We start from the raw sequence: 16,022 nt of genomic DNA on the forward strand, positions 1-16,022 counted from the left end.
ACTAAAATAATAATGTTTTGGGTATATTAGGTTAAATAACTATTTAAATTATCACACCTGCATCTTTTTACATTTTTTTATTTTCAAATAATTATAGAGTCCCAAAACAATTCAAAAATATTACAGAGAGGTTCTGAGTGCCTTTAACCAGCTTCCCCTCTGATAACATCTTACATAACTACAATACAACATCAACATTTTAAAATTGACATTTATATAATACACACGCCTTATTCAGACTTCACCAGTTTGACATGCATACATTTTGGTGTGTGTGTGTGTGTGTGTGTGTGTGTGTGTGTGTGTGTGTGCATGAGTTCCATACAATTTTATTCCATGTGTAGCTGCATAAGATCACCACTAAAATCGAGATGCACAACCATTCCATCACCGCAAAGATCTCCCTTGTGCTACTCCTCCATAAACCCATCCTTACCCTAACACCTCGTCAGCAAACCCTAGCGAATCACAAATTCTCCACCTCTATAATTTCTTCATTTAAGGAATGTTATATAAAAGAATCATATCATGTATCCTTTTGAAATAGGTTTTTTTCCACTCATCATAATGTCCTTGAGATTCATCCTAGTTGTTGCATGTATCAATAGTTGTTCTTTTTATTGCTTAGTCATATTCATGGGATAGATTACCACAGTTTGTTTAACAACCCAGTGCTGGCGATTTGGGCTGTTTCCAGTTTGAGGCTATTAAAAATAATCTGCTATGAACATTCATCTATAGGATTTGTGTGAATGTAAGTTTTCATCTTTATGAAATGAATGCCAATTATGAAATGAATGCCAATGAGTGTGACTGCTTGGTCATATGTTAAATACATGCTTAGTATTTTTAGGAAACTAGTTGTTTAAGAACATAGGTGTATAGTGATATATGATTGTGGTTTTCATTTGTATCTCTCTAATAGCTAATAATATTCAATACCTTTTCACGTGCTTATTCGCCATCCATATATCCTCTTGTAAAATGTTCATTTCTCTTGCTGATTTTCTAATTGGATTGTGTTTTTTATCTGTTTCTTCTGGTTTTTTTACTGTTGGGTTTTGAAATATTTTTGCATATTTTACATACAAGTCCTTTGTCAGATAAGAGATTTACAGATATTTTCTCCCAGGTTGTAGGTTGTCTTTCCATCTTCATAGCAGAGTCTTTTGCAGAGCAAATTTTTAATTTCAATGAAGTCCAATGTATCAACTGTTTTCTTTTGTGAATTCCTAGATCCCAAGTATTTTTGTTTCTTCTAAAAGATTTATAGCTTTACATTTTGATCCACTGATCCGTTTTGAGTTAAATTTTTTAAGTTGAGAGGTTTAGGTCAAGTTCCCGTGTTTGTCTATGGGTGTCCAATTGCTCCAGCAATGTTTGTTGAATTGCTTTTGCATCTTTGTCAAAGGGACATGGTTGTTTCGGTCTATTTCTAGGTTCTACATTCTGTTCCATTGATCTATAATATTCATCCCTTCACTAATACCAGTCTTGGTTAATAAAGATTTATAATAAGTCTTGAAATCAGGTAGACTGTTTTCTCTTTATTCTTCCCTTTCGAATTTGTTTTAGCTATTGTAGTTCATTTGCCTTTTCATATAAACTTTAGAATAAGCTTGCATATATTCACAAATAATGTTGCTGAAATTTTGACAGGAACTGCATTAAATTGGGGGAGAAATTATATTTTTACTATATTGAGTCTTCCACTCCTTGAGTATGGTATGTTTTTCTCTCTTTATTCAGATCTCGGACTTCTTTCATCAGCATTTAGCAATTTTCAGTATACAAGTCTTGTCATGTTTTGTTAGATTTATACTTAAGCATGTCATTACTGAGGAGTTATTGTAAGTGGTATTGTGTTGGGGTTCTTTTGTTTGTTTATGTGTTTTTGAGACAGAATCTTGCTCTGTCGCCAGGCTGGAATGCAGTGACGCAATCTCGGCTCACTACAATCTCTCTCTCCCGGGTTCAAGCAATTCTCCTGCCTCAGCCTCTGGAGTTGCTGGGACTACAGGCACACAGCACCACACCCGGCTAATTTTTGTATTTTTAGTAGAGAGAGAGTTTCACCATGTTGGGCAGGATGGTCTCGATCTCTTGACCTCACGATCTGCCCACCTCGGCCTCCCAAAGTGCTGGGATTACAGGCGTGAGCCACCGCACCCAGCTGGTATTGTGTTTTTAATTATGGCTCCAACATGTTCATCGCTAGTCTGAAAAATACAATTGATTTTTGTATGTTGATTTTGTCTCTGCAACTTTGCTGAACCTACCTGTTAGTTCTAGGAGGTATTTTTGTAGATTCCTGGAAATTTTATATGTAGATTGTGTCATCGGAAAATAGGAACAATTTTATTGTTTCTTTCCTAATCAACATGCTTTTCTTTCTTTTTCTTGCCTTATTACTCTAGCTGGGATTTTCAGTAGTGTGTTGAATAAAAGTGGTGAAAGTGCCTGCACTTGCATTGTTTACAAACTTAAGTGTAAAGTATTCAGACTTTTACTATTAACCATGTTACTGTTACAAAGTACATGTACAAAGTACAAAAAGCTGTGGTCTTTTTGTAAATGTCCTTTATTATATTGAGGAAGTTATCCTCTATTCCTAGTTTGGCTAGAGTTTTTATCATAAATGGGTGTTGAATTATGTCACATGCTTTTTCTGCATAAATTGATGAAATCATGCAATTTTTCTACTTTAGCCTGTTAATGCAGTGTTTTATTAAAGTGACAAATTTTTGAATATTCAAACAGCCTTGCATCCCTGAAATAAACTCCAGTTGGTGTATGTGTGTATATATGTGTGTATATACATATGTATGGATGTACATTTATATATTGCTAGATTCCATTTGCTAACTTTTTTTGAGGTTTTATTTCATCTGTGTTCATAAGGGATATTGGTCTGTAGTTTTCTCTTTGTTTGTACTGGATTTGTCTTTTTCCAGTCTCAGGGTACTATTAGCCTAATAAAATAAGTTGGGAAGTGTTCCCTCCTCCTTTTCTATCTTCTGTAATAAAAACATTGTAGAATATGTGTTAATTCCTCTTTAAATGTTTAAAAGCACCTAGGAGAGAGGATATATTTTGAGAGACTTTTAAAAATACAAATTAAAAATTATCTATTGGACAGAGCCATGTGTAGATCTTAGCCTTTGCACTTGCAAATCAAAGCTTTACAAGAGATGCTCTCCAAAGTCAATCCTTTACACCTCTACAACCCCATGATTTTAAGAATTGTTGTTTGACTTCTTTATGCAATGCAAAATGATATAGATAATCTTGTTTATCTTTCTACTTACCTACATCATAGTTATCAGAAATGAAATAGTTCTGGAAAGCCCTTCAAATGCCTCAAAATAGAGGCAAGGTTATTATTATTTTTAAAATGAATACCAATATGTTAACATTTCTATAGGAAGTAGTTGGTAAGCAAGGATTTCTCTGAAGGAGCTTATTGCAGGTGCTAATCAGCTCACACTATTTTTTACTGTCTGTGCTGAAAAAAGAATTAATTACTTCAGTAACCTCACTTCTTCACATACCTAAATAATGCATACCCCTATTCTGTGGAGAATAAACTAAATTTGATAGAGAAAAGTTTAATGCGTAGCTAAAGATAGCACTGTAATCTCCTTGAAAGAACTCTCAGCACTCTCCTCCCTCCTTTTAAACAGACTTTCCTTTTCTGAAACTGCTAATGAATGGTTCTTGTATCCTTGTGATTCCCTCTCTCATTGTATATCCTCCCACATATTTCCAAAGACTATTAAAGTTCATTTTCTTCCAATATTCATAAGTAATTTTCCTGAAGTCCATTGGATCCTTACCAGAACAATTGCAATAACCTGTCCCCGAAAGTCTTGTTTTCTAGAAGCATTGTTTAAAATTAAGACATTGCCTTTGAGCTTCAGGTACAAGATACATAAAGTTCTCACTCCATCACTACAAAGTTCCCCAGTGGTCTAGTCATCTCTCATTGAAATTGTTTCCCTTAAAATACGTGTTTCTCCATCATTCTACAAAAAGGGCATTTTTTTTTTTTTAAGACGGAGTCATTCACTCTGTTGCCCAGGTGGGAGTGCAGTGGCACAATCTCAGCTCACTGCAACCTCCATCTCCCGGGTTGAAGTTATTCTCCTGCTTCAGCCTCCCGAGAAGCTGGGATGACAGATGTATGCCACCATGCCCGACTAATTTTTGTATTTTTAGTAGAGATGGGGTTTTGCCATGTTGGCCAGGCTGGTCTCGAACTCCTGGCCCCAAGCAATCTGCTTGCCTTGGCCTCCCAAAGTGCTGGGATTATAGGCGTGAGCCACCGCGCTGGGCCAAAAAGGGCATTCTTGAAGGTCATTGATGATTTTCATCTCCAAAACTGAGTAGTCTACCTCCCTCCTGTCATTCTGAAGAATTTTATATTGTTTACCAAAACTCCTCGACAAGTTCTCCTGCCTTATTTCCTACTATGTAGACTCTCTCTTCACCTACCTTCCTGTTTTTCTCTTCTCATTATCTAATCATATGAATTCTATGGTTCCTTAAAATGTTCTTAAACCTGTCTTTCACTACTGTCTATTTGTTCAAGTATTCAATTAGAGTTTCAACTATAACTTCTATGCTGACTATTCTCAAATCTCTCTTCGTCTTCTCATCTGAACTACAGTCCCAAATCTCCAGGTTCAGTTAGCATTTTTACTTGTATGCCCCCCACAACACCACAAACTGGACATGACTGAAACCAAACTCCTCTGCTTCCCCTCCGCCTTTCCTGTCGAATGGCTTCAAGATTCTCTGCTTCAATAAGTCTCTAACCTGGAAGACTGAGTCATCTTTAATTAAAGACTCTTTTTATCTGAGAACCAGGCACCAAATCAAGCACATTTTTTCCCTAGAAACTAGGATTAGGTGGAAGGGAAAAGACCTTGAAGCTAACCATATCCACGTTTAAATTTATTCATGTTTAAAGTTATTTACCGTAACTTTGCATGAACTTGGATATATTATCTAACATCTCTGAGCTTCAATGTTTTCACATGAAAAAGACGGAAAATACATACCATGAAGTTGCTGTGGTAATTTAATGAGATAATACACTTAAAATGTTTGGCATATAGTAGAACTCAAAAATGTTAGTTGCTTCTCAGACGTGATTTTTCTATCTGTTCCATTCTCCGAGTTCCCACTGCTAAACTACCACACTCTGTTCAAGTCCCTCAGTCCCATGTACTTGAGATATCAAAAACAAAGCCCCCATTTTTCAACCCCACTTCCCTGCATTCTACTTTCTCCAAAGGGACCCACTTCCTTCATTAATGTCATATGACTCCTTCATTCTAAGTTTCCCACTGTTTTACCATATTAACTTGATAGTTCATTGACTGTCCTTAAGGTTCCTAAAAGTTCCCTTTTCCTTTCCCCTGACCCAAACCATCCTTCTCCATTTCCCCTTTCTCCTTAACCTGAATTTTTTGTCCTAGTCCTCCAGGCTGCCCTGATTTCTTCCCAAAGGCCACACTTGTTTTTTTTCCCTGAAACTTTAACATCCTTCTATCTCTAATTTCATACCTCCTATAGTATCAGATCAAACCCACTCCCCTTATAGGTCTTTGCCTCAACTCTCCAGCCTCTCCAACCTCCCTTCGGCCCTTCTTGCCTGCAACCATTATTAACACCTAATAGCATTCTAATTTGTGTTTGTTGGGCTAATTGTCTTAGTCTGGCCAGGCTGCTATAACAAAACACCATAAACTGGATGGCCTATAAACAACAGGAATTTATTTCTCACAGCTCTGGAGTCTGGGAAGTCCAAAATCAAGTTACCAGCAGACTTGGTGTCTGGTAAGGGCCCGCTTCCCGGTTGACAGATGGCCACCTTTCCATTGTAACCTCACATCACAAAAAAGGCATGGGGTTTCTCTCAGGCCTGTTTTACAAGGGCAAGCTAATCCCATTCATGAGAGCTGTACTCTCATGACCGAGTCACCTCCCAAAGGCCCCATCTCCTAACACCATCACCTTTGGGGTTAGGATTTCAACATAGGAACTTCGGGGGAACAAAAACATTCAAACCACATTCGATGTTCCACATCAGTGCTTACAAGCACTTGGGTTTCATACACCAATAACATTTCAAAGCCTAATTAGGCTACTGGCCATTAGATTTACATTCTTTCTTGCCCTAGGAGAGACCTTTAAAAATAATTTGAAATCCTTATTTCATTTTAAAAGTATATTTTACAAAAGATAGTAGGGCATAATGTTAGAATAAAAAAGTTTACATTGAATAAATTTAGATTTGGGTAAAAAAGTTCTATTATCCTTGTTTTTTTTGTTTGTTTGTTTCTTTTTTTTTTTTTTTTCATTTTGATATGGACCAGAGGAAGCTATCAGGAAAATCCTTGGACAGGGAATCTCCATGATTGTCTCTCTATACCTACTGTTTCTGTAACAGGGATAATTGATACTTGGAGAGTTCCTACTATGAACCAATTAGTAAAACTTTGTGTGTGCCTGTGTGTGTGTATGAGACAGGTACTAGTATGCCATTCTACAGACAGCAAAACTAAAACAATTTTCTCATGACTCACAGTGAATAAATGGTGAAAGTGATATTTGGACCCAGTTATTTAAGGTCCAGTGTTCTTGATTGCTAACTACACCACACTGCTGCTACTTCTTTAGACTCTGTGGTATGAGTATGATTCTATATACAAAATAAACATACCAATATGTACAATGATAATTGCAACATTTGCCATAATATAGCACACCTATTGAACAGAATAATGGCCAGATATATATCATCCCAAGGAAACTACTTCCATAAAGAGTATTTATAAATTGTAAAGTGCTGTACAGATGCAAAACCAACTGTAATTATTATCATCAACAGTGCTAACTGGAATTCCATAAGTCAAGTTTGCCTTAGACCATCACAGCAGATTTATTAAATAAAACACTATCACTATCATTTCTAAGGGAGTCCCATATATGAGACTATTTTAGGCCAGCAACATTAACTCATCTTTAAGAGAGTTTTGAAGAAATCGGAGTGATGGCAAATTAGCCCAATTCACTGCCTGCAATATTTCACTCTCTTACTGTTGCCTCTAAGATTATAGGGACTGCCCTAAGCAAAATGGTAGAAACCGTCTTAAACATACTCTTGTCTTTCCTTACATAACCCTTTTTATCTTACCTTGGGGGAAACTTTACACATTCTTCCCATCTTTCCCACTCTCTGCCCTAAAAGAATCTTTTAGCCAGCTGTTCCACTGGAAAGCATCTAACCGACAAATTCACATTTTTGTGTTTTGTTTTTCCAGGACCATGCTAATAACATACCAAGCCATAAGCCATAGAGATACATATTTAGTGAGAATATTTCAGATACAGTGAATAAGGCCGTTGTAGAGATATTTAGAGCAAAGAACATCACACTGGTGGCCCTTAATTGAGCTGACAAATATTTTTTCCAACTGATACGGGCAATTGTAAATGGTAATGAATCATCCTGAAAGCACAATCCCTCTCAGTATCTTCAATACCCACAAGTCTTCTACCAGTTCTGTGTCATCACAGTAATTCACCACAATGAGTTCCACCTTAAAGTGCACTGCTCTCTACCCAGATTTTACAACTACCCCTCTCCCAACAATATGACTTTTCTTCACTTCACTTTCATGGCCTCTTCTATTTTTCTGTATCACCCACAAAAAATAAGAATAGAAGCAAGTCACTTCGTAGTAAAGGAGTAATGTCCTGTACTATTTTCCCGACTGGCCACAAGTCAACAAATGGTTCTAAATTTTTACTCTCAATAATTTGCTGAGTACCTTCAGTCAATTCCAGAAAGATTTTGGAACCTCAATTTCACTCTCTGTAATAAGGGAGAACAAAATGACCTCTGATGTACCCAACACCTGTAGAATTCTACAGTTCTGTAATATTAACTATTATTCAAAGTAAAGATGAAGGCATAAAGACAGAGAAACATAATACATCCTTCAAGAGGTAAAAGCCACGTGTAACTAAACAAATTTCCTTTTAAAATAATGAATAAACTAGAAGACATTGAGAATGCCTTAAAATTCCTAATACAATTCATGGAGAAGTATGGAGGAGTTGTAATGTGACTTGATCAGAATATATCCGGTTCAACAACCAGATGAAAAAAAAAAATTGGTCAGGTAATTTGTATTTATCCATACCAGTGGTTTCCAAAATACATTCCAAAGAACACTACTAATTGTAAAAAATAATAATAAAGATTGCATTTAAATGCAAACTGAGCCCTTGAGGGTTGTCTGGACTTAGTGACTCATTCCACAAAATAGAGTATGGAAAGGGAGAAATAATAATTTTACAGTGTAGAAAACTTGAATAACACAAATTATCCAAGGGACCGAGGTTGACCTTACCAATGATGGGTCACGTTGACATCAGGTACCTATCTCCCCAGTATGATGTGATGAGATAGGCTCTTCATCTCTGTGATATTTTCTTCCAAAAGCCCATAACCCCAGTCTAATCATGAGAAGTTACATCAAGCATACCTTTTTGAAGGACATTCTACAAAATTCCTGATCATTACTCCTCAAAACTGGAAAGATTATGAAAAATAAGAAAAAACTGAGAAACTCTCACAAACTGTACATAACTAAATGCAGTATGGTGTCCTGGAGTGGAACTTGAAACCGAAAAAATACATTAATGGAAAACTGGTAGCATAAAGTTTGGAATTTAGCTAATGGTAACACACCAATAGTGTTTTCCTATATTTGACAAATGTATCATGATAATGAGATATGATAAGATTAGAGGAAACTGAAACTGGCTGAGGCTATACAGGAACCTCTCTGCACTACCTCCGTAACTGTTCTGTGAATCTGAAATTATTCCAAATAAAAAGCTTATTTAAATAATTGATGAAGATATCCATTAGCAAATTCGTTTGGGGAACTTTGGATTAAACAACTGATTTTTCTCAATGTCTGTAAATATCATAGCTCCTAAAATATCCAATAAGCATTGTGATTTTAACAGAGAGAATATAGGGTGCTGTGTTTCTCAAACATATTTGACCAGAAACCTTTTTATTTCTTCAAATAGCATCTTTTACAAAAAGTACTGACACAGAGAAGTTTTCTCCCAAGGTGTCAGACTTCTGTCCTATACTAGACCATGATGAAATTTTAATCAGTGACTGACTAAAGAGACAAAGATGCTATGAACATTAAATTGGCAGAAGACTTGAAACTAGAGACTAATATGATGGATGACAGAATAATCATTAAAATTATATTTCATAGGTTACATCAATTGATCAAACTTAATAAGATGACTATAAAAGGATACATACATAGTCTTCATTTAGGTAAGCAAATTAAAAAAAAAATCAGCTGAGTAAGTAAAAGAAGCAAGAACTTAAATGCACGTCATGTTACTGTGAGCAGCTTTGTGTCTCAGGAGTTCTTAGGTCAAATTAGTAGAATTGTCATGCTCAGTAAAGATGCCCTAATAGTAGGAGTAATGCCATTTCTGCAGATTGTTTGCTTGTCTTTTCCTGTTTTTTAGTTCTGCGTGCTACATTGTAAATGGTCCTCAATGAACCATTTCCAAAGGAGAGGCAATAGGATGATGTGTGTCTTGGAAACCATGTCATAGCAAGAAACGTCGAAGAAACTGGAAATGTTGCCCTGATGCACAGAAAACTTTGACAGAGGCTGGGCGCGGTGGCTCACACCTGTAATCCCAGCACTTTGGGAGGCCAAGGCGGGTGGATCACCTGAGGTCAGGAGTTCGAGACCAGCCTGGCCAACATGGTGAAACCCTGTCTCTACTAAAAATACAAAAAATTAGCCAGGCTTGGTGGCAGGCACCTGTAATCCCAGATACTCGGGAGGCTGAGGCAGGAGAATCACTTGAACCCGGGAGGCCAAGGTTGCAGCGAGCCAAGATCATGCTATTGCACTCCAGCCTGGCCAACAAGAGTGAAACCCCATCTCAAAAAAAAAAAAAAAAAAAAAGAAAGAAAGAAAAGAAAAAGAAAAAAAAGAAAACTTTGACAGATCCTTTAGTACACAAGGATACAGGAGAATCAAGCCTATTCTGTATAACTTCAGAACTCAGAAGGACTTAAGGACACAGGAAGCCGCACGTTTTGGTTCAAAAAACTTTTGTAACCATTAAACAGCCTCATAATGGAATGGATATTTTTGAAATGAAGTGAGCTCCCTGCCTCTGGGAGTGTCTAAATGGAAGCTGGATATCCCTCTGTCCAGACTGCAGCTAGAATGTCTTCTACGTGTACCTAATAAATGAGTTCTACACAACCTTCCAGTGCTAAGGTCTCAGAAGCTATCAAACCACAGGGAAGGAAAAAAAATGAAGAGGCACTGAGAAAAGTGACAAACCACTAAAAACAGCCCCTAAAGTACCTTAGGCACTGCTTTACCTCTCTTCTAACCATCATCCCTGTAATAATATCTGGAAACTGCCTAAACAAGTGTTGACATTTAGTTGATGAATTAAGGCAAAACGCTGTCCTAGAGTGTGCACCTAAGAGATTTCTGATTAGTAGAATTTAAGTTACACTAGAGGACAGGGAATGATGAATTTATCCTGACAAAGTACTGTATTCACTCCAAAAGAAATTTACCAAAATAAATGAACACACGAATATATAAATAAATAGTTTTACTTTAAATGCATTATTTTTTTCTCTTAGGGAAATAACTGGCTTATATAAAGGACAATGTGTATATGGTGTGTATGTTTAAGGCGTGCTTCAAGGTTGCTCTCAAGCTGAGCCAGAACTATCACGAGAAGAGTGAAAGGAGCACCCGGGACGCAGAAGTTAAGGAGGCAGTTACTCCTAGGGTCCTGTAAGTGCTGGCAGGGTCAGCCCGTGAGAGTGAGTGCCTCTTTAAATTTGCGTCACAGACGCCTGCTTACCTCACCCCAGTCCAAGCCCTGTGATTGGTCAGGCCATCAAAGCCTCGCCCCCTACACGACCCGGAATTCGACGCCAACACTGGTTTCTGGGGCAACTTCTGCGTAGCTATGTGACTAGCACCCGGAAATAATTGCCACCGCCATCTTTTGGTGCAGAAGGTGACGGGAAACAGGCCGCAGACCTGAACTTCCAACCGTATGTAGGCGAGAAGCCGGTGCCGATACTCCCACTATCCCACAATGTCCCACTGGGCCCCAGAGTGGAAGAGGGCGGAGGCTAATCCAAGAGACCTTGGGGCCAGCTGGGATGTCAGGGGCAGCAGAGGCAGTGGCTGGAGTGGCCCCTTCGGCCATCAGGGACCGAGAGCAGCAGGCTCCCGTGAACCACCACTCTGCTTTAAAATAAAGAACAATATGGTTGGTGTGGTCATTGGTTACAGTGGATCAAAAATAAAAGATCTACAACATTCGACAAACACTAAAATACAGATCATAAACGGGGAATCTGAAGCAAAAGTCAGAATTTTTGGCAATAGGGAAATGAAAGCAAAGGCCAAAGCGGCTATAGAAACACTTATTAGAAAACAAGAAAGCTACAACTCAGAATCCAGTGTGGATAATGCTGCATCCCAAACCCCTATTGGAAGAAATCTAGGCAGAAATGACATTGTTGGAGAAGCTGAGCCATTGTCAAATTGGGATCGCATTAGGGCAGCAGTCGTGGAGTGCGAAAAGAGAAAATGGGCAGATCTACCACCAGTTAAGAAAAACTTTTACATAGAATCCAAAGCAACAAGCTGCATGTCTGAAATGCAGGTGATTAACTGGAGAAAGGAAAATTTCAACATAACGTGTGATGACTTGAAAAGTGGTGAAAAGCGTCTCATTCCAAAACCAACTTGCAGGTTTAAAGACGCTTTTCAGCAATACCCTGATCTTCTGAAAAGCATAATAAGGGTAGGGATTGTAAAGCCAACGCCAATTCAGTCACAGGCATGGCCAATTATTCTACAAGGAATAGATCTTATAGTAGTTGCACAAACCGGAACAGGGAAAACATTGTCCTATCTAATGCCTGGGTTTATTCATCTTGATTCTCAACCAATATCTAGAGAGCAAAGGAATGGGCCTGGGATGCTAGTCCTTACACCCACTAGAGAGTTGGCTCTTCACGTGGAAGCTGAATGTTCAAAGTATTCATATAAAGGTCTCAAAAGCATTTGCATATATGGTGGTAGAAACAGAAATGGACAAATAGAAGACATTAGCAAAGGTGTAGATATCATTATTGCAACTCCTGGGAGGCTGAATGACCTACAAATGAATAACTCTGTCAACCTAAGAAGCATAACCTACTTGGTTATAGATGAGGCAGATAAAATGCTGGATATGGAATTTGAACCCCAGATAAGGAAGATTTTATTAGATGTGCGCCCAGACCGACAGACTGTTATGACAAGTGCAACTTGGCCAGATACTGTACGTCAACTAGCACTTTCTTATTTGAAAGATCCTATGATTGTTTATGTTGGTAATCTGAATCTAGTGGCTGTAAATACAGTGAAGCAAAATATAATTGTTACCACAGAAAAAGAAAAACGAGCTCTCACCCAAGAATTCGTAGAGAACATGTCACCCAACGACAAAGTCATCATGTTTGTCAGCCAAAAACATATTGCTGATGACTTGTCAAGCGACTTCAATATCCAAGGCATATCTGCAGAATCATTACATGGCAACAGTGAACAGAGTGATCAAGAGCGAGCAGTAGAGGACTTTAAAAGCGGAAACATAAAGATACTGATTACAACTGATATAGTATCCCGAGGTCTTGATCTTAATGATGTCACACATGTATATAATTATGATTTCCCAAGGAATATTGACGTATATGTACACAGAGTAGGGTACATTGGACGGACAGGAAAGACTGGCACATCAGTTACCCTCATCACTCAGAGAGATTCGAAAATGGCCGGTGAATTGATTAAAATTCTGGACAGAGCAAATCAGAGTGTTCCGGAAGATCTTGTAGTAATGGCTGAGCAATACAAGTTAAATCAACAAAAGAGGCACAGAGAAACACGATCAAGAAAACCTGGACAAAGACGCAAGGAGTTTTATTTTTTAAGTTGAAAAGTTGTACCAGGCTACTGGAAGATTCCAGGCATGTTAAAGATATGCAGTATTGAATATATGTAAGGAAGTATTGGAAACATACTAGCCATTTGAAGACATAACTAATTCTTAAATAATACTGCTAAACTTTCAATATTGTGTATGCTCCTTAATTTTAAAAAAGTCTCAAAAATGAGAGAGTGAGAGACTGTGTGAAGAGAAAGTGAATGTTACGTGTTGGTTAAAGTTTAATTTCTCTTAAAAATACTTTTATTTTAGGTTTGGGGGTATATGTGAAGGTTTGTTAAAGAAACACGTGCCATGGGGGTTTATCAACTTTCAATATTGTGTATGTTCCTTAATTTTAGAAAAAGTCTCAAAAATGAGAGAGAGACTATGTGAAGAGAAGGTAAATGTTATGTGTTGGTTAAAGTTTAATTTCTCCTAAAAATACTTTTATTTTAGGTTTGGGGGTATTTGTGAAGGTTTGTTAAAGAAACACGTGTCATGGGGGTTTATCAACTTTCAATATTGTGTATGCTCCTTAATTTTAAAAAAGTCTCAAAAATGAGAGAGTGAGAGACTATGTGAAGAGAAAGTAAATGTTACGTGTTGGTTAAAGTTTAATTTCTCTTAAAAATACTTTTATTTTAGGTTTGGGGGTATATGTGAAGGTTTGTTAAAGAAACACGTGTCATGGGGGTTTATCAACTTTCAATATTGTGTATGTTCCTTAATTTTAAAAAAGTCTCAAAAATGAGAGAGTGAGAGACTATGTGAAGAGAAAGTAAATGTTATGTGTTGGTTAAAGTTTAATTTCTCTTAAAAATACTTTTATTTTAGGTTTGGGGGTATATGTGAAGGTTTGTTAAAGAAACACGTGTCATGGGGGTTTACTGTACATATTATTTCGTCACCCAGGTATTAAGACCAGTGCCCAATAATTATCTTTTCTGCTCTTCTGCCTCCTTCCACCCTCCCCCATCAGCTAGACCCCAGTGTCTGCTGTTTCCTTCTTTGCGTTCATAAGTTCTCATCGTTTGCTTCCCACTTATAAGTGAGAACATGTGGTATTTGAGTTTCTGTTCTTGTGTTAATTTTATAGTCTACCATGTCCATTTGTCTTCTCTAAAACACTTGGTAGAAGACAACAATGGTGCTTTTCTGGCTTTAAAATAGTTGTACTAAATTGAAGCATAGCTTCAAGCTTATCCAGTCAAAGTATTCTCTTTTCCCCCGAGCAGTTGGTGCCACAACAGTTCTTAAAGTTATTTCCACTATCATTCTCTACTTGTTTTAGTTCATTAGAAAATAAGTGCTAAATTTTTTAGAAGATTCCACAATTCTATTTTTATCAGAATGATGTCACCAGCAGAGCAGGATGTCTGACTCACTGGGATTCAGGTCCTTGTATGCATTTTGTCACTAACCCTTGGTTAAAACTCTGAGGAAATCACTTGCCTTCTCTAGGCCTCAATTTCTCTACTCATAAAATGGGACAGTTTTATTAATTTAGAGGTCTCTTTTACCTCTAAAATTCGGTGACATTATAACTAAAACTGTATACCCCAGCCTTGTATTAACACTTTTTTGTCTAATCTAGGGGAAATTGCATCCTTGTATAATTGAATAAAACAATCCTTTTCAATGACAAGAATAGTGCATTCTGCATTTTTATTGATTTTGCAATTTAACTGGTAGGTTTTCATTTTATTCTTTGCTTTTCTTTTCATCATGCTTTATTTTAATTCAATTTGAAGGTCAAAACCATATATATATAGATACATATATCGGGGAAAAAATTAAAGTGAAAGAAAAATTTATCTACTGGGAAAAACATTAAAACCAATCAAATAAGGGCTGGGTGCGGTGGCTCACGCCTGTAATCCCAGCACTTTGGGAGGCCGAGGCGGGCGGATCGCCTGAGGTCAGGAGTTCAAGACCAGCCTGACCAACATGGAGAAACCCTGTCCCTACTACAAATACAAAATTAGCTGGGTGTGGTGGCGCATGCCTGTAATCCCAGCTACTCGGGAGGCTGAGGCAGGAGAATCAGTTGAACCCGGGAGGGAGAGGTTGCAGTGAGCTGAAATCGTGCCACTGCACTCCAGCCTGGGCAACAAGAGCAAAACTCTGTCTCAAAAAAAAAAAAACCAAAAAAAAAACCAAATGACGTTTTTGCCATAAGAACCAATTTTAGTAAAACTCTTCCTAATTTTATCTATAATTCTACCTCTTATGCCTTATTTAGAAGCAAGGTGCTTCTCACACCTGCAAAAAGAAATCCCTACAAAGATGTTAAGTAAACTTTAAAATTCAGTGTTCATGAAAACATTAGAATTAGTTAACATTTCTGGTAAAATCAAGAGAAAAATTAAGGCAACAAACTTTTTTCCCCAGCATGCCTTACCTGTGACTACAAATAAGTCAGAAAATAAGGGAAAGAAAGAAGTAAATGTTCTAGGTATAGGTATTTAAGGCTTAAAGTATAGACTTTAAAGGCTTTTTAAAATGTAGACCTTAATATCTCTGGATAAAATTAATAACAATGGTTAACATTGTTGAGTGATACATACCTGGCGCTTTATCTCCTAATCTCTAATATTTATAAGAACGCCACTCGGAAGGAAATCTTACCCCTATTTTGCAGGGGATGAAGCAAAGTCAGAGGAGCTAACTTGCCTAAGGGCCCTAAACCTGATTAAAGAGAAATTAAGTGATATTTAGAGGACTTAAGGGATATTTTGACCCGGCAGTGCCTGATTCCAATATTTATATTTTTTAATTTTAGTATAGTTATTATGTTTAAAGGCAATATGCTTGTCTTGAGGTTCTCTACAAGTTCAGATTTAGTGAAATAGAGAAGTGTGTGCAAATTTAATGCAAAGGCAATCTATAGCAGAACTGTAATAGAAGCTCAAATGGCTTAGTGCTGTTCACTC

At 37.3% G+C, this 16,022-nt stretch overlaps 1 protein-coding gene and 1 long non-coding RNA gene across 2 annotated transcripts in view; one reads left to right on the forward strand and one right to left on the reverse strand.

The window, feature by feature from the left end:
- PTCHD1-AS (PTCHD1 and PHEX antisense RNA) overlaps window positions 1-16,022 on the reverse strand; it is a 1,100,142-nt gene that overhangs the window by 795,851 nt on the left and 288,269 nt on the right. The gene's annotated exons all lie outside the window — the stretch shown is intronic.
- On the forward strand, window positions 11,105-14,734 carry DDX53 (DEAD-box helicase 53). Its single transcript, NM_182699.4, has one exon. It carries the CDS (start codon window positions 11,203-11,205, stop codon window positions 13,096-13,098), a length of 1,896 nt encoding a protein of 631 aa, NP_874358.2. The 5' UTR covers window positions 11,105-11,202; the 3' UTR covers window positions 13,099-14,734.

The sequence above is a fragment of the Homo sapiens genome, chromosome X (genome assembly GCF_000001405.40).
Source record: "Homo sapiens chromosome X, GRCh38.p14 Primary Assembly".
In the NCBI taxonomy this organism is placed as follows: domain Eukaryota; kingdom Metazoa; phylum Chordata; class Mammalia; order Primates; family Hominidae; genus Homo; species Homo sapiens.